The sequence below is a fragment of the Homo sapiens genome, chromosome 19 (assembly GCF_000001405.40).
Source record: "Homo sapiens chromosome 19, GRCh38.p14 Primary Assembly".
NCBI classification, from domain to species: Eukaryota; Metazoa; Chordata; class Mammalia; order Primates; family Hominidae; genus Homo; species Homo sapiens.
Window position 1 is genome coordinate 15,975,287 of NC_000019.10, and position 24,800 is coordinate 16,000,086.

The window sequence follows — 24,800 nt, forward strand, 5'->3', positions numbered from 1 at the left end:
GCTCAGCTCTCTCTCCTTCTTAGCTGAGCCCATGACAAATGGAAATGAGCAAATTATTGGGCTGTCTTTTCTTCCTTCTGTTGGGTCTGTTGCTTGGAGATTAGTTCTGTTTCATCTGGTTCTTCCTCTTTTGAGGCAAGACAATAGCAGAGGGAATTGGAGAATTGGAGGCTGGATAAAGGATGGAATGAGTAGGAGTAGAAGCAGGATAAAGAGGTGGGTGAGCAAGAAGCAAGATAATAAGCAGAAGTTGAGCAGCCAAAACAAAGGTGAGATAAAATAAGTGAGTAAAGAGACCCCATGGCCAGCAAGATCTGGACCAAACCTGTCAGGGGCAGCTCCTCAGAGATGGGCATGTGCATTTGAGGAAAAGGTATCCTTAAAATGACCGCACATGATCATCAGCTACTTAAGGTTCATGCATATGGACTGCATATCGTGCATGTACTTAAAAGTATGGGATGGAGGCAACATGCAAGTGCACAAGGGTCAAAGTAACTAAGTAACCCACCTATCAATCAAAAGGCAGACACTGGCTAAAGATTAGGCAGCCTTGGGAAAAGAAGAGAAAAAAACATATCAAAGAAACCCAAATACACCTAACTGGTGCTGATCTCATTTCTCAAAGGTCAGTCCACTCTCCCTTTTCCAAGAGTGTAATACTGTGCTTAATAAACTTTTGCTGCTTTGCTATCTGTGTGCATCTCACACAATTCTTTGTTCAGGGCATGAAGAGCCTGGAACAGCGTGATACCATCTGGTAACACTTTAACGCCCTTAGGTAAATGCTGGGTAAACATGGATTGCCCTGCTGATGAGTGAGGGACCATGTTGATTATTATTGCTTTTGTTCTCTTTGGTTTTAGATTTACTTCCACATCAGGCCTTTTGGTAGATGGGTGGGTCAGACCCTATCAACAGGCATGGGTTGGGGGCTTGCAGGCAGCCTCAAGACTCCTTCCCCATAGCTAAATTTAGGAAGACTTGACTTGGGAAGGCTGAGGCTTTCCTGAATTTCTTTTAGTGTTCTATTCTTTGTTGCATTTTTTCTCTGTTCACTGTGGAGATCTGGAGCAAGCGCTCATTGGATGTACTTCTCCCCCAGACTCCAAAACCCATTGGGATGCACCACTCCCACACCTATAGAGAGAGGAAGAGAGGGAGAGGAGGAGGAGAGAGTGGCAGCATCTGTCCTTTCTGAGAATGTGAACTGAGACGCCAAAACAGATGCCCCTGTATCAACTAAGACGGGCCCTAACATTAAGGAGAGTGAAGCAGTGTCCTTGTCTGGGGTAAATGCTCAAGGTTCTTGTCTCATGCCAGGGAAATTGAGGATGCAGACACACAAGAAGTGAGTTTAAGAGTGGAAGTTTAATAGGTGAAAGAAAGAGAAAAGAGAATAGCTCTCTCTTCTGCAGAGAGAGAGGGGCTCCCAGGTGGGACTTCCAGTCCAGCAAAGTGCATGGGGTTTTATAGACTAGCTTGATGAGGCAGTGTCTGATTTACAAAAGGCCCAAAGATTGGTTGGACCAGGTGTACCATTTACATACTGCGAGAAGAAGCTGGCCACCCCACCCTAATATTTTATTATGCAAATGGGTAATCTACCTGACCTGCGCCACGTTACCTCTTTCTTTACTGTACATGTGGTTGACAAAGAAAAGGAAAGATGGAGCAGCCATGTTGAACATGTCTAGTGCCCAGGCAGCCTTTTCCTATTGGCACAGCTGCTATGCAAGCTTCCATCTTGCTTATCTATCTCTGCAGCTTGATTTTACAGGCTGCTGTTTATTAGAAAAGAAATGATTTGGGGTTGCTTTTCATTAAAAGGAAAACCTTACTGAGTGAGGCTAAGAGTGAAGGATTAATAGGCAACAGAAAGAGAAAAGAGAATAGTTCTCTCTCCCGCAGAGAGATAGGGGCGCCCAAGTGGGTCTTCTAGTCCCGTGGCAAAGTGCACAGGGTTTTGTAGACTGGCTTGAGGAGGCTGTGTCTGATTTACATAGGGCCCAAAGGTTGGTTGGACCAGGAGTGACGATTACATAGTGCTGCAAAGAAGCTGGCCATCCACCCTAATCTTTCATTATGCAAATCGATTTTCTACCTGGACAGCAGCATGTTGCCTGCTCCTTACTATACACGTGGTTGGCAAAGATAAGGGAAGAGGGAGCCCCCACGTTGAAAATGCCTGGCCCTCAGATAGCCTTTTCCTACTGGCACAGCTGCCAGCATTCTCCCTTGCAAGCTTCCAGCTTGCTTATCTATGTCTGCAGCCTGATTTTACAGGCTGCTTTTGTTAGAAAACAAATGATTTGGGGGCTGCTTTTCATTAAAAGGGAAACTTTACTGAGGACTCTCTTACCCTCACTACCTGCCTAAATAATTTCTTTTTAATGCCTGTATCATTTAGGATAGAAATTCCCAGGATCCGTGGTGCTTCCATAGCAAAGGAAGAACGTCTCCAGGGAGATGACTTTACAGTTGAGCCCTGGATGATGAGATTCGATCATGAAAGAATTGGAGAAGAGCATCCTGAGGGCAGGGACAGGCAAGTCAAAAGGTCCCAAGACAAGAAAAGATCATCCATGCGGGGGCCAAGGCCAGGGTGGCCACGAAGAAGGGAGAAGAGCTGGAGAGGAGATGTGAAGAGTTAGCAGGGCTCAGTGGTGCACAGTCCCTTAGGCTGTGAAAGGAGATCAGCATCTGTAGCCGAATTTTATTTTGAGACATTAACTGAAGCTCCTTCTATTCTCCTACCCCTTACCCTTCCAGGTGCTCCCACTGACAGAGCAGGAGCATCGCCATCTTGGACAAGCACCACCATTTTAAAGTTTGCCTTGATCAAAACTGCCTAAATCCAAAGGGCATCAGCCTAATGGCTAAGGTCAGCATGACCATAAACCACAAATGACATCTCCGACCAGAAACATTCCAACCCTAAGATAAACCCCTCCCCAACCAGAGACATGCCAGCCCTGAGATAACCTCCCCTCCAGCCGGAGAGATGTCTGCACCAAGACAATCTCCCCTTTGACCACAGACATTCCAACCCTGCCATAAACATTTCCCCCACAAAGAAACATTCCAAGCCTGTAATAAGCTCTCTCACCCTAAAACCAATAAATACCCTTAGTCTGTAAGAGAGAGTGCTCCTGACCGAAATCAGCCAGAAGCCCCTATCAGGTCTATTCTCCAAAATAAGCCTGTCTTTGTTGAGCTTCTTTTTGTGTTTCTTTCGTCTTTCTTTAACTCTTACACCACCACTCTTGGAAAACATTGCCGCCTATATGCACAGCCCTCTAGGGGTAACGCTGATCCAATGAGCACAAATATTTCAATTTTTGCTTTGGATCTCCAAGACACTGTCCTAAAAGTCATGGCAGAACCAACTGTCTTGAAAGGCAACATGCTTTAATAGCCAGGCTTTCTGAGAGAGGAAGTAATAATGGGCAGATTTTTTGAGCATTTACTGTGACCTGGCACTGCCCTGAGTCCTTTACACTTAGTCCTCTGGACAACTCTGAGGTAGGTAGTGTTGTCCCCATTATATGGTTAGGACGCTGAAGCTCAGAGAGGGAAATTAACTTGCCCAAGTCACACAGCAGAACCGAGATTTGAGCCCAAGCAGTCCAGTTCCAGATCCCGTGCCTTTGGGTGATGTCTGCTTCCAATGGTTTGGCTTTGAATCTCAAGGGTCAAAAGGGATGGCTCTGACTCCAATCCCACCCCAAGATGGGCCAGGGAGACCTGTGCTGGGAATGGAGGAGAAACCTAGAGATGAAAGGGTGGGGCCCGTCCTCCCACTGACACTCATGAGAGTGCCGGGCACACAGTGGAGGAGGGAATGGTGGGAGGGGGTTGTGGTAGCACCTGTTGACCAGGCTGCCTGGGCAGCATCAGGGAGCCCAGAAGAGAAAGGGAGGGGGCTCCCTGAAGGTAGGCAATGGGGGCTACAGAGGAAAGCAACTAGAAGGGCAGACATAGCAGGGGGACATTGGCAAGGAAAGGAACTAAAAATTCTGAAGCGCCAGCCAGGGCGGAAGATGCACCCCTCTTTCCCTGTGCTCTGGGCTGGCCAAGGGCCTCTGTCTTGGGGGCACCAGCAGCCCAGATGAATGGATCTACCTCTACAGGTTCTTCTTCCTTACTCAGAGCCTCAGTCTTTCTCCTTAAATGCCTTTATAACCCTGGTCCCTCTCCTGCTCAAATACCTCCCATAGCTCCCTATTGCCCACTGGATAAACTCCATAGTTGGCCTCCAAGAGAACCTGCTACCAGAGTGTAGGTCTCGTGTTCAGCCAGGGAGGCAGTCAGGGTGTTGCTCTCAGAGATGCCCCCCTGCCCTGATCCCCTGCCTCCCACTGACCCAGCCCACCTCTGAATCCTCACAGTCCCCAAGCACCCCGTGATGGCTCTGGGTGAGACTCAGGCAAAGAGGACAGCACAGTTTTATTCATGGGATTCTGCAAAGGTGTGGGTGGGTGGCTTGGGTGGGGTCCAAGGCCAAGCGGCTATGGGTCACTGTGGGTCTGCGCTCAGGGGCTTCACCCACAGCCAAAGTCCGCCCTCTGCATACATTATGACCTCCGGCTTCCTGCGGGGCTCCATGTGGTCTGGACAGACACGGAAGCACAGCAGCGTGAGCGCCAGGACCACCTTCATCTCAGCCATTGCAAACGCCTGCCCAATGCAGTTCCTGGTGCGGGGGAAGGGACTCTGACTGCACCCAGGACCCGCATCCCGGCCCCATCCCTGGCCCCAGACCCTGAATCAGGCCCACACAACTCTGAGTTTTTACACTTAGTCCTCTGGACAACCCTGAGGTAGGTAGTGTTGTCACCATTATATGGTTGGGAAAATAAAGCTCAGAGAGGGGAATTAACTTGCCCAAGTCACACAGCAGAGCTGAGGCTTGAGCCTAAGCAATCTGATCCAGATCCCATGCCTTTGGGGTGGTGTTTGCATCCAGCGGTCTGGCTTTGAATCTCAAGGGTCAAAAGGGATGGCCCTGACCCCGACCCCACCCCAAGATAGGCCAAGGTGGGCTGTGCTGGGAATGGAGGAGGAACCTGTAGGTGAAAGGGTGGGGATTCGCCCTCCCCGTGACACTCTTGGGAGAGCGCCTGGCACACAGTTGGGGAGCGAGAGGGTGGTCTCAGGAAGCATCTGTTGGCCAGGCTGCCTGGGTAGCATCAGGGGACCCAGAATAGAAAGGGAGGGGGTTCCCTGAAGGCAGGGGAAGTGGGTCACAGAGAACACCAACCAGGAGGGGCAGACAGAGCAGTGGGACATTTGCAAGGAAGGGAACTAAGGATTCCAAAAGCCAGCCAGGGAGGGGCAGAGAAGGGAGCTAACTGTGCCTGGGACCCCCATATGGGCTTGCATATCCCCGGAGCCTGGCCCAGACTCCAGCCCCAGCTGAGACCAGCAGAGGGGGTGGGGGCTCTGAGCATATCACAGACTATTCTTGGAACTACCCAAACCTGTTCTATGGACCTTTGCCCATAAACTCCAGAGGAGGAAAGGAAAGGAAATCTGGAACTGGGACCATCTGCAACATCCTCAGTTTTCAAGCCCCACACCCATCACCCCATCCCTGCCTCAGACACAGGCCACCCTTGTCTGGACCCTGCTGAGAAGGGAATAAAAGCCAGAGGTGATCTCTCTTTGCTATTCTCTGGGTCAAAGCGGAAGGGGTCATAGACCTGGAGGTGAGACCAAGAAGGGTTGCTGGGTGGGGTCTCCCAGGTATGCCAGCCTTGGAGAGACAGACAGTTGTGTGTGTCTTGGAGGGAGGTGATGTTGGATTCTCTTGGTCAAAACCCTGCCCCCTCCTCTAGGACCCCTAAAATGGACCTTAAAAAGGGGGGTATTGGGGAGGCAGCACCTCAGGGTCCAGCCACACAGTTGGGTTGTGGTGAGTCTCAAAATTACTGAAGAGACAGACAATGCCTGTAGGAGAGAAGGGGGCAGTCAGGACAAGGTCCCCCTGCCTGAGAGGCCCCTCTTCCTACCCAGGAGGCACCTCCCCATGAGGCTGTGGGCACCTTTGGGGATGACTCAGCCGCCTGGGAGCACAATGTCCTGGGTGCAGCATCGGGAGATGACAGGGACTGGGGGATGCAGCCACAGGCTGTCCTTAATGTACATGGTCAGGAAGGGCAGCTGGGCCAGGTCATCCCTAAAGAAACACCCAGCCCCAATCATTATCAAGGTAGCAAAGACACAACTCTCCAGTTCTCTGTTTGCAAGTGAGACCTTTTCTCCCTGTAACGAACTCCACATGGAACAAATGTTTGAGGATTAGAAAACCAGAAAAAAAAAATAGAAAGATTCCAAAGAAAATTTAACCAGGTAGTTTAAAAAGACATATTTTTTAAAAAATCAAAATGCCAACTGTAAAATAAAAAAAATGAATTTGCATAAAAATAAGTATTCTTTGTGACAAGAGAGCAAACTCATAATCCAAATGAATAAGAAACAAAATATACTTTCAATGTTTTGCTCATATTCATCACTGCACTAGAGATACTAGCAAATGCAATTAGACAAGGGAAAAAGAGAATATGTAATTTGAAATGTGGGGTAAATGTATCATTTTGGAACAGTGATTCTGAGTCTTTTAATAGAGTTTAAAATTTGCTTAGATATCTTAGGCATATTTTGTTAAATCCACTCCTAGATACTTTTGTTGCTATGGAAAAATGTGTCACCTTTTATTTGGGTTCAGGGAAATTTATGAATTCATTTGGAATATAGAGATTTTGTGTTTCTTGTTAAATTTAATCCAGGTATTTTATATTATTATTATTATTATTATTATTATTATTATTATTATTGGCATCTTTTCTTTCATGCTGTTTTCCAGCTGGTTGTTATTTCTACCAAGAAAGACTAATGAATACATATAAATTGTGTGCCCAATGAACACAGTACATGCTAAAAATGGTGTCTCATATCAATAGCAAAATTATTGATCATTTAATAAAAGCCCTTGGGATGACTGGGGAACAGCATGGAAAAAGAGTAAACTTAACCTGGTTCTCATGTCTTATAACAAGATAATGTCCAGATGAATCAAGTATTTAAAAAAAATTTTTTTAAAGAATCTTAAAAGCTATAGAAGAAACCATGGGAATATTATTTTATACTTCCAGATTAAGAAAACCTTATTTTCACACAGGTCCCAGGAGATATACAAGAAGAGAGCAATATGTACTTAAACGAGAAAAGGGCCAGGCGTAGTGGCTCAAGCCTGTAATCCCAGCACTTTGGGAGGCCAAAGCAGGTGGATCACAAGGTCAGGAGTTTGAGGCCAGGCTGGCCAATATGGTGAAACCCCATCTCTACTAAAAATGCAAAAATTAGCCAGGTGTGGTGGCCTGCACCTATAGTCCCAGCTGCTTGGGAGGCCGAGGCAGGAGAATTGCTTGAACCTGGGAGGTGGAGGTTGCAGTGAGCCAAGCCCATGCCACTGCACTTCAGCCTGGGCAACAGAGTAAGATTCTGTCTCAAAAAAAAAAGAGAGAGAGAGAGAGAAAAGATACAAAGCAGTCCATGCAGCGTATAGTATGTTACTGTGGAATTTTTTAAAGATGCTAAAAGTAGCTCTGGAAAAATACATAAAAATATAATAACTTAGACAATCTGTGTGCGTGTGGAATTTGGGTGGTTTTGGCCATTGGGGTGAGTAAACTTTATAGATTTTGAACCAGTTAAGTGCATTGGTATTAAAAATTTAAACAGCCACACAAAAGGAAGAAATGTCAAGAAAAAGAATTCAGCTCCCTTACTGGGTCATCAGTGTTTGTAAAAGTTTTCTGATGGATTCTCTTGTTTCTTTTAAGTACAGAATCAGAATCACTGTCTGCCAAAATGATACATTTACCCCCACATTTCAAATTACATACTCTTTTTTCCTTGTCTAATTGCATTTGCTAGTATCTCTAGTGCAATGATGAATACAAGCAAAACATTGAATGTATATTTTGTTTCTTATTCATTTGGATTATGCGTTTGCTCTCTTGCCACAAAGAATACTTATTTTTATGCAAATTCATTTTCTTTTTTCTTACAGTTGGCATTTTGATTTTTTAAAATATGTCTTTTTAAACTACCTGGTTAAATTTTCTTTGGAACCTTTCAATTTTTTTTTTGTGGTTTTCTAATCCCCAGACATTTGTTCCATGTGGAGTTCGTTACAGGGAGACTAGATGGATATCCAATCCACACACTAGGGTAGAATGTATCACTGCTATGTGAAGTAACCCATTTTCCACATATCAATCATATATCCAAGTCAACCAATAAAATATATTCAAATCAACTTTAAAAATCTATCTGATTTTTTGAGGAAGTTGATAAACATACTCTAATTTTTTTCTGAAAAATAAAAGATCACGAAGAACTAAGTCAATCTGAAAATAAAATTTAAAGAGAGGGAAGTCATTCCACCCAGTATTACAAACTATTACAGGCTGGGCATGGTAGCTCATGCCTGTAATCACAGCATTTGGGGAGGTCAAGGCAGGAGGATCACTTGAGACCAGGAGTTCAATACAAGCTTGGGAAGCAAAGTGAGATCCCAACTTGACAAAATAATTTTTAAAAAATTAGCCAGATGTGGTGGTGCAGGCCTATAGTCCGAGCTAGTCAGGAGGCTGAGATGGACTGCTTAAGCCCAGGTATTCGAGGCTACAGTGAGCTGTGATTGCTCACCACTGCACTCTAGCCTGGGCGGCAAAGAGAGACCCTGTCTCCAAAAAAGAAAAAATAATGTTAAAAAAACGACTGCAAAGTCACACGAATACAAATAGTGTGGCATCATTGCAAAAATAAGAAAATAGACTCATGAAACAGAATGGAGAACTCAGAGACAGACACATGAATAAGCTAAAATGTCACATCTGGTAAAGGGAGTCCCCTAAAACTCTTGGAGAAATGGATGGATTTTCTGGCTGTAGAAGAAAAAAAGTGGAGGAATTTAACTTCATAGAAATTCATCAAAAGTATCCTCCAAAAGTTAAAAGGCAATAGTTTGTAACAAAACAGAGAAAACAAGATTAATTTTAATACACATTTGTAAAAGTAAATATTTTTAAAGAATCCAAAAAAAACCAGCAAAAAATAAGAAAACCACTTCCATAAAAAGAAAACAAATAACTTATCAACATGTGCAAGAGATGTTCAATCTCACCCTTAATTAGGAAAATGTTCATTAAAAGTAGAAATATAAAGATTGACAAAGATTTAAAATTCAATAGTACAACACTACTTTTGGTAAAGTTACTGGAAAGCCTGTACCATCAAATCAGCTAATAGAAATGGACTTTCTATCATAATTGAAGTTGTACAGTGCAAATGGTCTTTGATTCTTCAATTCCACTTCACAGAATTTGTCCTGCAGAGGTGTCTACACTTGTAAGCAAAGGTCACTGTAAACACATGCCAACTGCCTATGGAAACCTTTACATAAGTGTCCAATATAGGAATGAGTTGAATAAAATGTGAAATAGAAAAAAAAAGCTGTAAGACACACTGTTGAGTGACAAAAACCAGTTATAAAATGTATAGATACGTATATGCAAAAGGGAAAAAGTATATAGATGTATATGAATATTGATGACATAGATAATTCATAGATAGAAGATACATTGTAGATGATGATGATTGATAGAGGAAACAGAGGAGAGAGAGAGATAAACAGACAATTCTATGGCTCTAGAGACCCATTTGGAGAAAGGGAGGGAATTAAGTGGGGTAGAAGGATTGTCAAGGATAACCCTTGTCTTATCTGTAATATCTCATTTGGTGCAAGAAGAACTTGTTCTCATCATTGTTTTTGTAAATTAATGCTCTTTTTCCATGTGGTATATATACACAATGAAATATCATTCAGCCTTAAAAACACAAAAAAATATATATCATTTGCCACAACATAGAAGAACCTGGAGGACCTTATGCTAAGTGAAGTAAGACAGGCACAGAAAGACAAACACGCATGATCTTACTTATCTGAAATAAGTAAAACTTGATCTAAAATAGTCAAGCTCATAGAAGCAGAGAGTAGAACAGTGGTTACTGGAGGCCAGGGCTGAGGGGAAGGGAGAGGAAATGGTGAGATGTTGGTTAAAGGGTACAAGTTTCAGTTAAAGAGGAATAAGTTCAGATCTATTGGACACAGCATGGTGACTTTAGTTAACAACGTATTGTATTACCTAAAAATGCTTTAAAAAAAATTTCAAATGTTCTTACCACAAATATGATAAGTAAATGGGGTGGTGGGTGAGTTCAGCACCTTGATTTAATTACCATAGATTGTATATATATATCATAATATCACACTCTATAAGTATATATAAATAAAATTTCTCAATTAAAAGTAAAAAACAAACTCATTTCCCAAAACTTGTTAATTGAGAAAATTTTTTTAAATCTCACATATATATACATATATATGTATATACACATATATACATGTACGTGTATATATGTATATATGTATATACATGTATATATATACACATATATATGTATATATACATATATATACACACATATATATACATATATATATGTGTGTGTATATATATATATATGTTGTTTTTTTTTCTTTTTTTTTTTTTTGAGACAGAGTCTCATTCTGTCACCCAGGCTGGAGTGCAGTGGCATCATCTCAACTCACTGAAATCTCCACCTCCCGAGTTCAAGCAATTCTCACGCCTCAACTTCCTGAAGAGCTGGGACTACAGGCATGTGCCAACATGCCTGGCTAATTTTTTCTATTTTTAGTAGAGACACGGTTTCACTGTGTTGGCCAGGCTGGTCTCGAACTCCTGGCCTAAAATGATCTGCCCACCTCAGCCTCCCAAAGCGCTGAGATTACAAGCAGGAGCCACCATGCCTGGCCTCAGAGATATATTGTTAATGCGCAGACCTGTGTGTATTTTATATATTTATACAGAAAAGGGGAGTGTGTGTTTATATAAATGTGGGCATCAGGATAGCCATTTTCTAGAAGAATGCACAGAAAACTATTGACCACAGTCAACGCTCGGGTGGAGCTTAATAAGGAAGTTCATTTTTATCATAAACTCTTTTGGACACTTTTTTTAACCATGTGCATAATTTTGCTTGAAATCTTGGTTTGATACTCCAGAATATTGATCTGGGCAAAGATTTTCTGTGTAACATCTCAAAAATACAGGCAAAAAAAAAGCAAAAATAGACAAATGGGATTATATCAAGCTAAAAAGCTTCTGTACAGCAAAGGAAACAATTAACAAAGTGAAGGAACAAGCTATAGAATGGCAGAAATTATTTCCAAACTATCCATCTAGCAAGAGATTAATAACTAGAATATATAAGGAGTTCAAACAACTCAATAGTAAAGAAAAAAAACAACAACAAATCATATAATTTAAAAACGGACAAAAGATCTGAGTAGACATTTCTCAAAAGATGACATACAAATGGCCAACAGGTAGATGGAAAAAATGCTCCATGTCACTAATCGTCATAAGACATGCAAATTAAAACCACAAGGAGATATCATCTAACCCAGTTAAAATGTCTTTTGTCAAAAAGACAGGCAATAATAGATGGTGGTGAGGATATGGAGAAAGGGGAACTCTCACACACTGTTGGTGGGAATATAAATTAGTACAGCCACTGCAGAGAACAGCATGGAGGTTCCTCAAAAAAACTAAAACTAGAACTACCATATAACCCAGAAATTTCACTACTGCCTATATATCCAAAAGAAAGAAAATCAATATATTGAAAAGGTGCCTGCACTCCCATGTTAATTGCAACACCATTCACAATAGCCAAAATATGGAATCAAGCTAAGTGCCCATCAGTGAATGAATGGGTAAAGAAAATGTGGCATATCTACACAATGGAATACTATTCAGCCATAAAAAGGCTGAAATTTTGTTCTTTGCAGCAACATGGATGGAACTGAAGGTCATTGTGGTAAGAAAAATAAGCCAAGCACAGAAAGACAAATATTGCATGGTGTCACTCATATGCAGGAGATGAAAAAAATGGATCTTATGAAAATAGAAAGTAGATTGGTAGAGGGAAAGGGGGGATAAGGAGAAGTTGATTAATAGGTGCAAATGTATGGTTTGATAGATGAAATAAAAACTGTTCAAGCTGGGCAAGGTGGCTCACGCCTGTAATCGTAGCACTTTGAGAGGCTTAGGTAGGCAGATCACCTGAGGTCAGGAGTTCGAGACCAGCCTGACCAACATAGTGAAACCCTGTCTCTACTAAAAATACAAAAATTAGCCGGGCATGGTGGTGGCACATGCCTGTAGTCCCAGCTACTCAGGAGGTTGAGGCATGAGAATCACTTGAACCTGGGAAGCAGAAGTTGCAGTGAGCTGAGATCGCGCCAATGGACGTCAGTCTGGGCAACAAGAGTAAAACTCCGTCTCAAAAAAAAACAAAAAACAAAACAGTACTCAATGGATCAGTGGGGTGACTATAGTTTGATAGTTTGCTGGTCCTCTCCAGTACACCCTCCACAGTAGCCCTAGAAAGATCTTCCTGGTACCAGATCTGACCTTTCCCTCCCCTCCTCAAACGCATCCCTTGGCTCCCCATTGCCCTTGGGTAAAAGCCAAAGTCATTAACATTTTCCCCAAGGCTTCCATAGCCAGCCCCTGCTGCCATCTCCAGTTTCATCATCTCATTATGACCGAATCTCTCCCTCTCTCTCTCCTTCGCCTTCTCTCTGCTCCTTTCTCTCAACCCAGGAGATCTTACTGAGCTAGAGCCACTGTTCCCCAACTGCACCCAAATATCTACTGACCATCATTCAGGGTCTCAACTGAGACACTTTCTATACCCCCGAGTCATGCTTCTCTTACTGTAAAACCCATCCCTGCCCATATGGGCTGGGAGTGTCCTGACCAGGGACTGCTCCCATGTGGGCGGGAAGCACCTGGAAAATAGGTCCCTGGGTTGTGTCCTTCCCAAAATCTCCAGAGCACAGACAGGTAATGTGAAAAGAACTGGGGGTGGGAATACAGTGTGGGAATGTTTGCTGAATGAGGACCGGGTGGATGAACAATCCAGGTGTTCTGGACAATAAATGAATGATTTTTACTCTGAGGTCTCCATCATGAATCCCTGGACTGGACATAAGTATGGGAATTAGAGAACAGAAGAGCAACCATTAAGGAAGTGAAAATGTTCGAAAAAATATTTCCTGGAGAAAAGGAAGGGTGTGGCATTCATTTGCAGAACGTGTGCTGAGTGGCCTCATCTCCTCTCACTTATTGTCACTAATTCTCTCAGCAGTCCAGTCTTTCCTTTTTAATTTTCTTTCCCTTATTCCTTCAAATATTTATTTCTCTCCTTTTATATTTTAATCTATATCTAATATACTTGTTATCTACATGTTGCATCTCTCTCTCTCTCTCTCTCTCTCTCTCTCTCTCTCTTATTTTATTTTATTTATTTATTTATTTATTTTGAGACGGAGTCTCACTCTGTCGCCCAGGCTGGAGTGCAGTGACGTGATCTCGGCTCACTGCAACCTCCACCCCCTGGGTTCGAGCGATTCTCCCGCCTCAGCCTCCTGAGTAGCTGGGATTACAGGCACCTGCCACCACGCCCGGCTAAATTTTTTGTAGTTTCAGTAGAGATGGGATTTCACTATCTTGGCCAGGCTGGTCTTGAACTCCCAACCTCATGACCCACCTGCCTCAGGCTCCCAAAGTGCTGGGATTACAGGCGTGAGCCACCGCGCCCAGCTGCATCTCTATTTCTATTTATTTCAATAGTTTGGGGGGTACAGGTGGTACATGGATAAGTTCTTTAGTGGTGATTTCTGAGGTTTTAGTGCACTCATTACCCAAGCAGCATACACTGTACCTAATATGTAATCATTTCTCCCTAACCCCCTCTCATCCTTGTCATTGAATCCCCTAAGTCCATTATATCATCCTTATGCCGGTCAGTAGCATAAATTGAACCCAATATGTAGTTTTTTGTCCCTCACCCCCTCCCACCTTCCCTCTTCTGAGTCTCCAGTGCCCATTAAACCACTCTGTATGCCTTTACATACCCATAGCTTAGCTCCCACTTATAAGTGAGAACATATGATATGTGGTTTTCCATCCCTGAGTTGCTTCACTTAGAATAATGGCCTCCAGCTCCAGCCAAGTTGCTGCAAAGCTGTATTTCATTCTGTTTGATGGCTGAGTGGTACTCCATGGTGTACATATACCACATTTTCTATATCCACTCATTGGTTGATGGGCACTTAGGTTGGTTTCATATTTTTGCAAATACAAATTGCGCTGCTAAAAACATGTATGTACATGTGTCTTTTTCATATATGACTTCTTTCTGGGGGGTAGATACCCAGTAGAGGGATTGCTGGATCAAGTGGTAGTTATACTTTTAGTTCTTTAAGGAATAGTAGCCCAGGTCTTTCTGTCCTAGCAGCCTGCAATCTTTCCCCTGTTAGCCAGGCTGGCCCTGCCTGTGGTCCTCTGCTTCTATTCCCAGTAAGCAAAAGTGGCAGAATTGACAAAACAACTTCCCCACTTCCCACTTGGGGAGCAGAGCCAATGAGAGGGCCTCAGGAACTGGCCAGAAGAACCTGCACTCATCATTCAATCTCTTTAGGCTCGTGATCCTTCAGAAGCTTTTGCACCTCCTGCCAGCAGTGCTCCTGGTATTCTGGGTGCCTTGCAAGGTAGTATAGGACCCAGGAGAGGCCACTGGCCGTGGTGTTATGACCTGAGGGGCAGCAAGACAGGCTTGAGTCTCTGGGCTGCTTCAGTACCAGAGGGTGGACAGCGTCCATGCATCTAGGTTCTCAGGAGGATGGTGGGGTTGGGGGGAGGATGGGCTGAATGGAGTGATGCAGGGTTCATCTCCCACATCCCTGGGATGGAGAGGCCTCTGTCCCTACTGTAGTCCCACACTGGGACACTCATCCTCAAACATGAAGGTGTCAGCTTCTGCTCTTATTTCCTCATCAGACAACTCCTTCCAATCTTCATCCTGGTGAGAAGGCAAGACACACACACACACACACACACACACATACAGATCACACTAGCTCTGAGGGATCCTCAGTTTAAAGTCAGACAATCTCTGAAGACCCCTCCTTCCAGAATCCCAAGCCCACCCTGCATGCCTAGATGTCTCTTGATCACCATCACGAGAGCCCCCAACTCACAGGCTTCCTCCCTGGCCTCCTTGTCTCTTCTTTTGTCCCTAGTGGGAGGACTCAATGACCTATGAATATTTTCATATTTCTGCATGATGAGAACTTTCTGAGAAAAAGTTCCTGGCAACCTGGGTTACAGGATAATTGGCAATTTGCTTTGCAAGTTAGAGATTAAGTATTGCTCCAAAAATATTTGCTCACATTCTAGAGTGCCAAATCCATAGACTCTTATCTTATGTCCCCTGGAGATATTTGGGTTGTAAGTCTACAGACTATGGCATCTCACTAAAGAGGATTTGTTTATGCTCCAGAACAAAATACTTTCTCCTCCCTGCATCCCCCACCTGTCTGTCTCTTTCTCTCTCCCTCTCTCTTTCTCTCTCACTAGAGCAAAGAAATAGAAGATATGCCAAGACTCATAATGTAGGGCACCTCTCCTAGGGTGCAAACTCCGTTGCACATAAAGGTAAAAACATTGCATTCTCCTTGGAGGAATTTGATTTGGGAATGGAGAGCCAGTGCCACAATCCTACTCTGGCTGCTAGTATTGCTGTGAGCAATAAATGGGCTGCTCTGATCCAGGTGTTTAATGCATCTGTCACAATAGACATATACATAGAAAGGCATAGGCATAGACACAGACACATAGACAAAGACAAGGGCATGGATATAGATATAGACAAAGACATAGGCATGGATATAGATACTGACAAAGACATCGGCATAGAGAAATATGTAGACATAGAAATAGACAAAGGCAGACATAGAGAATAACATAGACATAGACATAAAAAAGACATAGGCATAGAGAAAGACATAGACAGACAATGACGAATACACAGATGTAAACAAAGACATCAACATAGACATAGTCATAGACAGACATAGACAAAGAGAAAGACACAGATATAGAAACAGACACAGGCACACAAATACACATAGACATAGACAAAGACTCAGACACAGAAAAAGGCAAAAAGATAGAGATAGACACAGATATACACATAGATATTTGCATGAACAAAGCTATAAACATAGACAGAGATGTAAACAAAAGCATAGACACAGAAAAGACACAAAGACATAGACAAATACAGACCAAGACAAAGACATAGAAAAAGACACAATACAGACCAAGACAAAGACATAGAAAAGACACAAAGACATAGACATAGACATAAAAAAGACACAGGCAAAGATATAGACATAAACACACATAAAGATATAGACATAAACACACAAAAAGGCAAAGATGCAGACATGGGCAAAGACAAAGACATAGTCATACAGACACATAGTCATACTCAGACACAGACTCAGACATAGACAATGACATATACAGGACATAGACATAGATATAGATGTAGATGTATAGATAAAAATGTGACACACTGGCTTATTAATTTGTAAATAGAGTAAAATATCAGACTTGTCAGTTTCACACCTAGAGGTCCCCTGCTATTTGTGTCTCACTCAGTCATCTCTAAAAACTATCTCTGACCTGTCCCTCCCCTGCTCAAGCAATTTCCAATGCTCCCCAGTGCCCTCTGGATCACATCCAAGTTCTTTGATCTGACATTTGACATGAAGCTCCCTTCTACTTTTTGCATTCAGATCCCAGAGAACCCCACCTTGCTCAGCAGGAGTACATCAGTGAAGTCCAAAGTCTTGGACTTGGCCTTTACTTCGTGGAAATAATCAACACCCTGGCTAGTAAGGGTGTGGCGCTGCTCCTGGATGATAGCTTCTGTGAAGTCATGAACCAGGCAGCAGGCCCTGCGGAAGCGCCATCCGCTGGGGATGAGATAATACAGAAAGTCCATGCACAGATGAAGGTAAGGAAGTTGTTGAGAACTGGAATAAAGGTGATTCTTGCTATGCTTTAGCAAAGAGATTGACAGCACTTTGCTTCTGCCCTGCCCTGCCACCAGGGAACTGAGCTCCAAGATGGTGGCAATATATTGACTGGGCTTTCTGCAGGATAAGGGCAGAAAGGGAGGCAACAACTTAACACACCTGAAGCCACAGGAGCATCTCCCACCAGCATCCAGGAGCTACCTCCTATAGGAAGCACAGTATCCAAAAACAGATGCCCCCACAGTTACAGAGTGAGGATCACCCATGAGATTCACTCTCCAAACTCTCTTATCTCCCTGATTTCCATCTCTAGGAGCTTCCTCCATGCCCCTGGGCACTCAGACCACAACTTGAACATCATGCTCTTATTCGCTCTCCCCTGCCCCCATTATAGAGTTCTGTCCCTTCTCCTTCCTGAAACTATCCACAAAGCTCAGAATTCCTGCTCTTCCAGCTGGTCCGAAGTCCATGCCCCACCCTAGTATCCTTGCATCCAATGTCAACTCCATGCAACATCTACATTACAGTTATTCCCCCACAGAGCTCAGCTCTGACCATGCCCATCAGCTCAAACCCCTTCAAGGGCTCCCTAGAAACCTCATGATAACATTTATACCAGTCATTTAGACTATGACATAACTCCTCCAGGCACTTCTGGTTGTCCCGATGAGGTAGGCACTTCTGGTTGCCGGACCCCAACCTACTTCTTTGGATTCATGGCTCAAGTTCTCAGTCCCTGGGCAAAGACTCACTCCTGACAATGGCTGTCAAAGCTGAAGACACATTTCTGCACACTGTCCAAGGTCATGAGGCTGGTGTGCTCAAACATGTCCAGATGGGCACTGCCCCCTGAGGCCAGGAGCTGCCACTTGGCCTAGCCAGAGAAGGGGACACAGCTGGGGCTGGTCCCTAGCTCCTTTGAGTCCTTCCCCAAGCCCAACCATCAAGATGGACTTCCCCAAAGCCAACCTCTTTGTCTTCTCCCCAGGAACCCCTCCCCAAGGAGGACCAGGTTGTGCTGGGAACAACAACTGTTACTATTAAGAGACAAAGACCCAAGACGGGGGTTCAGGAGAACTTGGATTCATGTTCCACCCTTGCATGCCCTTGGTCAATGCATTAACCTCCCTTCCCCTGTCAAATCTTCAGGAACAGTTGAGATGATGTACCTTGGTGCCACATAAACAAGGTTAGAAATCCTGCTCCACTATTCCAACCTCGATTATTAGCTAGGTAAACTTGGGCAAGCTCCCTAATCTCTTAGACCCACTGTTTCATCATCTACACTGAGGCAGAAATAATCTCTCATTCACAGAGTTGTTAAAAGTAAATTAGTCAATATATACTTGTTATCAATGAGTGGGAACATGGCATTGTTTCTGGCCAATAGGGGGCATACTCAACAAATGTTGGATTTCCTCACCTGCATTGTTATAAATTGATTACAAGAATTTATTACACTATCCCTATGTTGGGAGAGGTAGTCCTCCATGTGCCCTGAGTATCCTTTCTGGGTATGCCAAGAATGTAAGACACTGATATTCTTAACTGGAGCCATTTCTGAGAGTTGTGTTTGCAGAGAACAGCCTTGAGGGATGAGGTAATGACTCCCTTTTGACACTTATCAGGCTTGCTATAAAAGCAGATCTCCTAAGCCTACTGCTCCATCCCTGTAATGCAATATACTATGTCAGCAAGCATCAGTAGAAGCCCACCTGTGTTGCCCCATGGGATTTGGGTGGCTTGGAGAAAAAAGCAAACCAACAAGAAACACATGCTCCTTGCTGTGCTATGAGTAATAAATCATGCTTTGTCTCTTACCCACAAATCTCTGTCTTCTGGCAGAATCCATGAAACCATAACAAGATAACTTATCAATTTGCAATTTTTAAAAAAATTCTAGAGATGTCACGAAGCCCTTGCCCAAATTCTTCATTTGCCCCCCATATCCATACCCTTTGAAATGTGATTTTTTCAGTGACTTCCATTAAGAGACCGAGCATTTTTTACTACCCACCACTTTTTGATTCTCTGTTGGACTTTTGGCTTTCTCTGACAAAACACAATGTGAAATTGATGAGGTAATAACTAATGAATCTAACCTGCCTCGTCTCACTCCCTGGAACCCTCTCTGCCATGTGAACCATGGGGTGCCTTCTGGAGGGATAGAATCCCTGGAGGAAAGTCCAGGAGTCCCAGCTGAGGACATCTGTGTCAATTTGAAACCAGACAAAACCCAAACGTTTGAGAGAACTGAGCCAAGACCAGCAAGGCTGCCTACCTGACCCACAGCTTCTCATGTGCCATGAATATCTCTTGCACATCCAGAAGAACCCACTGATATGGTTTGGCTGTGTCCCCACCCAAACTTGAATTATAGTTCCCATAATCCCTATTTGTCTTGGGAGACACCTGGTGGGAGGCAATTTAATCCTGGTGGTGATTACCTTCATGGTGTTCTCATGGTAGTGAGGGAGTTCTTACAAGATCTGATGGTTTTATAAAGGGCTTTTCCCCCTTTTGCTCAGCCCTTCCTCTTGCTGCTGCCATGTGAAGAAGGACGTGTTTGCTTCCCCTTCCACCATGATTGTAAGTTTCCTGAGGCCTTTCCAGCCCTGCAGAACTGTGAGTCAATTGAACCTCTTTCTTTTATAAATTACCTAGTCTTGGATATGTCTTTATTAGCAGCATGAGAATGGACTAATATAGTAAATTGGTAGAGTGAGGTGCTGCTGTTAACATACCCAAAAATGTGGAAGTGACTTTGAAACTGGGTAACAGGCAGAGGTTGGAACAGTTTGGAGGGCTCAGAAGACAGGAAAATGTGGAAAAGTTTGGAACTTCCTAGAGACTTGTTGAATGGCTTTGACCAAAATGCTGATAGTGATATGGACAATGAAGTCCAGGCTAAGGTGGTCTCAGATGGAGGTGAGGAAGTTGTTGAGAACTGGAATAAAGGTGATTCTTGCTATGCTTTAGCAAAGAGATTGACAGCACTTTGCTTCTGCCCTAGAGATCTGTGAAACTTTGAACTTGAGAAAGATGATTTAGGGTATCTGGCAGAAGAAATTTCTAAGCATCAAAGCATTCAAGAGGAAGCAGAGAAAAAAAGTTTGAAAAATTTTCAGCCTGATGATGCAATAGAAAAGAAAAACCCATTTTCTGGGGAGAAATTCGAGCCTGCTGCAGAAATTCACAGAAGTAACAAGGAGCCAAATGTTAATCACCAAGACAATGGGGAAAATTACTCCAGGGCATGTCAGAGACCTTAGTGGCAGCCCCTCCCATCACAGGCCCAGAGTCCTAGGAGGAAAAAATGGTTACTTGGGCCAGGCCCAGGGCCCCTTTGCTGTGTGCAACCTAAGGACTTGGTGTCCTGCATCCCAGCTGCTCCAGCCATGGCAAGTGGCCAAGGTACATGACTTCAGCGGATGCAAGTCCCAAGCTTTGGCAGCTTCCACGTGGCGTTGAGCCTGTGGGTGCACAGAAGTCAAGAATTGAGGTTTAGGAACCTCGGCCTAGATTTCAGAGGATGTACGGAAATGCCTGATATTCAGGCAGAAGTTTGCTGCAAGCGTGAGGCCCTCATGGAGAACCTCTGGTAGGGCTATATGGAAGGGAAACGTGGGGTGCAAGCCCCCACACGTAGTCCCTATTGGGGCACTGCCTAGTGGAGCTGTGAGAAGAGGGCCACTCAATATCCCAAAATGGTAGATCCACTGACAGCTTGCACTGTGCACCTGGAAAAGCAACTGACACTCAACACCAGCTTGTGAAAGCAGCTAGAAGGGGGCTTGTACCCTGCAAAGCCACAGGAGTGGAGCTGCCCAAGGTCATGGGAGCCCACCTCTTGTATCAGCATGAACTGAATGTGAGACATGGAGTCGAAGGAGTTCATTTTGGAACTTTAAGGTTTAATGACTCCCCTACTGCATTTTGGACTTACATGGGGCTAGTAGCCCTTTTGTTTTGGACAAGTTCTCCCATTTGGAATGGTGTATTTACCAAATGTCTGTACCCCCATTGTATCTAGGAAGTAACTAACTTGTTTTTGATTCTACAGGCTCATAGGAGGAAAGGAATTGCCTCATCTCAGATGAAACTTTACACTGTGGACTTTTGAGTTAATGCTGAGATGAATTAAGACTTTGAGGGACTGTTTGGAAGGTGTGATTGGTGTTGAAGTGTGAGGACATGAGATTTAGGAGGGGGCAGGGATAGAAGATGTGGTTTGGCTGTGTCCCCACCCAAATCTCATATTCATTTGTAGCTCCCATAATTCCCAAGTGTCATGGAAGGGACCAAGTGGAAGATAATTGAATCATGGGGGTGAGTATTTCCCATGATGTTCTCATGATAGTGAATAAGCCTCTCAAGATCTGATGGTTTTATAAAGGGGGAGTTCCCCTGCATACACTCTCTTGCCTGCCACCATGTAAGACATGACTTTGCTTCTCATTCACCTTCCACCATGATAGTGAGGCCTCCCCATCCATGTGGAACTGTGAGTCAATTAAACCTCTTTCCTTTTTAAAGTACTCAGTCTCAGGTATGTCTTTATCAGCAGCATGAGAACAGACTAATATACCAGCCACCTGTCTCATAGACTTGTTAGCAATCATAAAACCTTATTGTTTTAAACCAATGAGTTCTCAAGTTGTTTCTTACTCAGCAACAGCTACTATACAATTGTCATCATGACCCTCTTGAGTTTACAAGAGGAAATATAGAAACAGACACTTTCTGGGCACCTACTATGCACCAGGGATATGACTCCATTACATCACCTTGACCATCTTTTAAGTAGGGATTATTATACCCATTTTACAGCTGAGGAAACCAAAGCTCAGAGAGGAAAAGCAATGCTGAATGCCACCCAGCAGAGCCAAAATTCCAGACCAGATCTGTCTGTGGTGCCTCCACCCCAAGGCTTCAGCTGGAACTCTGGGTTCAAAGAATTCACGTGCATGATATTCACACTGTCAGTGAAAAACTTCATATAGGGCTTCAGCATGTTGAAATGGAAGGCGGGCATCAGCATCTGACGGTGGCAGCTCCACTTGTCACTGGCATTTACCAGGAGCCCATCCCCTAGTAGAGGCAGTCAAGGGCCATGGGCAAGGGTATCTCCCTCTTCTTACCCATCCCCCAAGGTTTTTCCCACCCTTGTTCACCTACAGGTACTCACCCAGCCAGGGCTTCAGGAACTTGTAGAAGGCCTCGTCTTTTGGTGCAATGGTGGCTGACATGAATGAGGACCATCAGAAACCATGGAAAGGGTGAGGGAGGGACTTTGGGTGTGGGGTGAGGCTCCAAGCCAGAGACCACACTTACTCCCTCAAAGCGCAGCATAGTAGAAACATGTGACATGGCCCCGATATGTGTTAACATGTCCTGACATGGTCACAAAATACACAACAAGCCCTAGCATGCTATGCTGTGCTCTAACAAGGATCTTAGACACTCTGAAATGACCTTAGCATGCCCTATAGGCAGGCCCCAGTTAGGATTCAGATTTAAATATGGTCCCTTTAATATCCCAGAAATAGCCCATGTCTGGTCCCAAATGTTCCATAGTCATGACTCAAATATACCCTGAAGCCTGTCTCAAACAATACTCAAACAATGTCTCAGAATGTTTACACACAGACCCTGGGTTCCAGACATGAGGCACATCCCTGGGATCATATGGAGATGGTTATGTCTAGGGCTCAGCTGTGGCCAAGAGTATTTGGGGTATGTGGGGTTTGTCTGCGATTCTGTTTGAGATAGTCTTTTTCTTCTGCTGGTGACGTCTGGGCCATGTTTGGGATGCGCCTCACGTTTGGGCAAGGGTAGGGCTCCAGGCTCGGGTGGCGTCTCCTACTGGAGATTCCTAGGGCCTGGAGCAGGAGGGCAATGAGCATATAGTGGAAGAACCACAGGATGGGGTAGAAGGAACCGACCCACAGAGGTGAATGTCATGAAAATAGCAGTCCAGATCCTCCACCAACTGCATGTCCTCCTCATTGTTCTGGGCTTGGGGACATGCAAGGTGATGCCAGGCCTGGCAGGAGGTCTTGAATTCTAATGTTGCCCATTGCATCGCTTCATCCCCCACTTTAAAACATTCCTACTCATTGTTAGAAACCCAGCTCCAGCAACTTCTCTTCCAGGAAGCCTTCCAGCCTGCCCCAGGAGAGACCAGGTTCTCCTCTGGGCTCTCCCAGCCCATCTCCTTCTGGACCACTCCTGACCCCATGACTTTGGGGATGTCTCTGCCCAGATCCATCTCCTCAAGCTTGGGAGATCCTTCCAGGACAGAGCCTTGGGTTGAGGCCTCATGGGGCTCCAGTAGTGCACAGAACGCCGGGGTGGTGGGGGGATGGCAGTAGTGGGAGGAGACGCTGAGATGGGGGTTGGTGAATACATGAAGGAAAGAGAAGATGGCTGAGGGTGAAGCAAGAAGGAAGGGCCTGGATACTGCAGCGGCCACACAGAAGCTTGGGGGAGGAGGGGCTTGCAGGCCTCAGATGCACCACGGCATTCACCACCAGGTGTTTCAGATGGTACCTGAGGCATTGATGACAGACCAGATGATGTTGGGGTGGCACAACCTGATGATGGGAGTAATGGGGTTCATCCAGATCTTAAAGCCCTGGGGGTAAGTGGCCACCAGCTGAGTCAGAACTCTCATGCCCTCCTTCATGTGGGGACCTGCAAGCAAGGCAGGGGCCTGTAATCCCAGCTACTCGGGATGCTGAGACACAAGAATCTCTTGAACCCAGGAGGCGGAGGTTGCAGTGAGCCGAGATCACGCTACTGCACTCCAGCCTGGGCAACACAGCAAGACTCCGTCTCAAAAAAAAAAAAAAAAGAAAAGAAAAGGAGGCCATCCTAGCACCATGCATGGAGTCCAGTTCTTTGGATAAGTATGCCACTGGGCAATGTTATGACCCTATAACTTGAGTCAGAACTCCTATAGCCATTTCTTTTTGTTCATGAACATATAGAAAGAAAGGCTTAGTTATGTCTGGTAGTCCTAAAGCTGGGGCCCAAGTTAAAGCTTCCTTGATCTGTTCAAATGCTATTTCTTGATTAGTCTTCGAAAGGAGGGGCTGTTTTTCTCCTATCTTTGTGGCTTCATATAATGGTTTAGCCATTAATGAAAAATTTGGAATCCAAATATGGCAAAATCCTGCTGCCTCTAAAAATTATCGTATTTGACACCGGGTGGTTGGGGTTGGGAGTGCACAAATGGCCTGCTTCTGTTTATAGCCAAGCTGGTGTTCTCTGTGGCTTACTATGAAACTTAGATATTTAACTTTTTCATGGCAAATTTGGGCTTTCTTTTTAGATACTTTGTAACTTGTTTTCCATAAAAGATGGAGGAGGTCCTGGGTTCCTTGGTAATAATCCTCTCGGGTTGGGGCTGCCAAAAGAAGGTCGTCCACGTACTGAAACAAGGCACAGTTATCATTTGGCAGGGTATAGGCCTTGAGGTTTGAGGCCAGTGCTTCCTCAAAGATTGTAAGAGAGTTTTTGAACCCTTGTGGGAGCTTAGTCCAGGTGAGCTGTGTAGCTTCCTTGTCCTATTGAAATGCAAAAATGGGCTGACTAACTGGTGCCAGTCAGATACAGAAGAAGGCATCTTTTAAGTCTAAGACCGTAAACCAAGTGGCAACTTGCTGGAATAAGTCCCATTAAAGTATATAGGTTTGGTACTACTAGGTGGATAGCCACTGTGGCCCTGTTTCTAGCCCGCAAG

At 44.4% G+C, this 24,800-nt stretch overlaps 2 pseudogenes; both read right to left on the reverse strand.

The window, feature by feature from the left end:
• Positions 1-4,518: 4,518 nt before the first annotated feature.
• LOC124900424 (cytochrome P450 4F2-like) lies at positions 4,519-23,741 on the reverse strand (annotated as a pseudogene).
• CYP4F9P (cytochrome P450 family 4 subfamily F member 9, pseudogene) lies at positions 22,164-23,735 on the reverse strand (annotated as a pseudogene).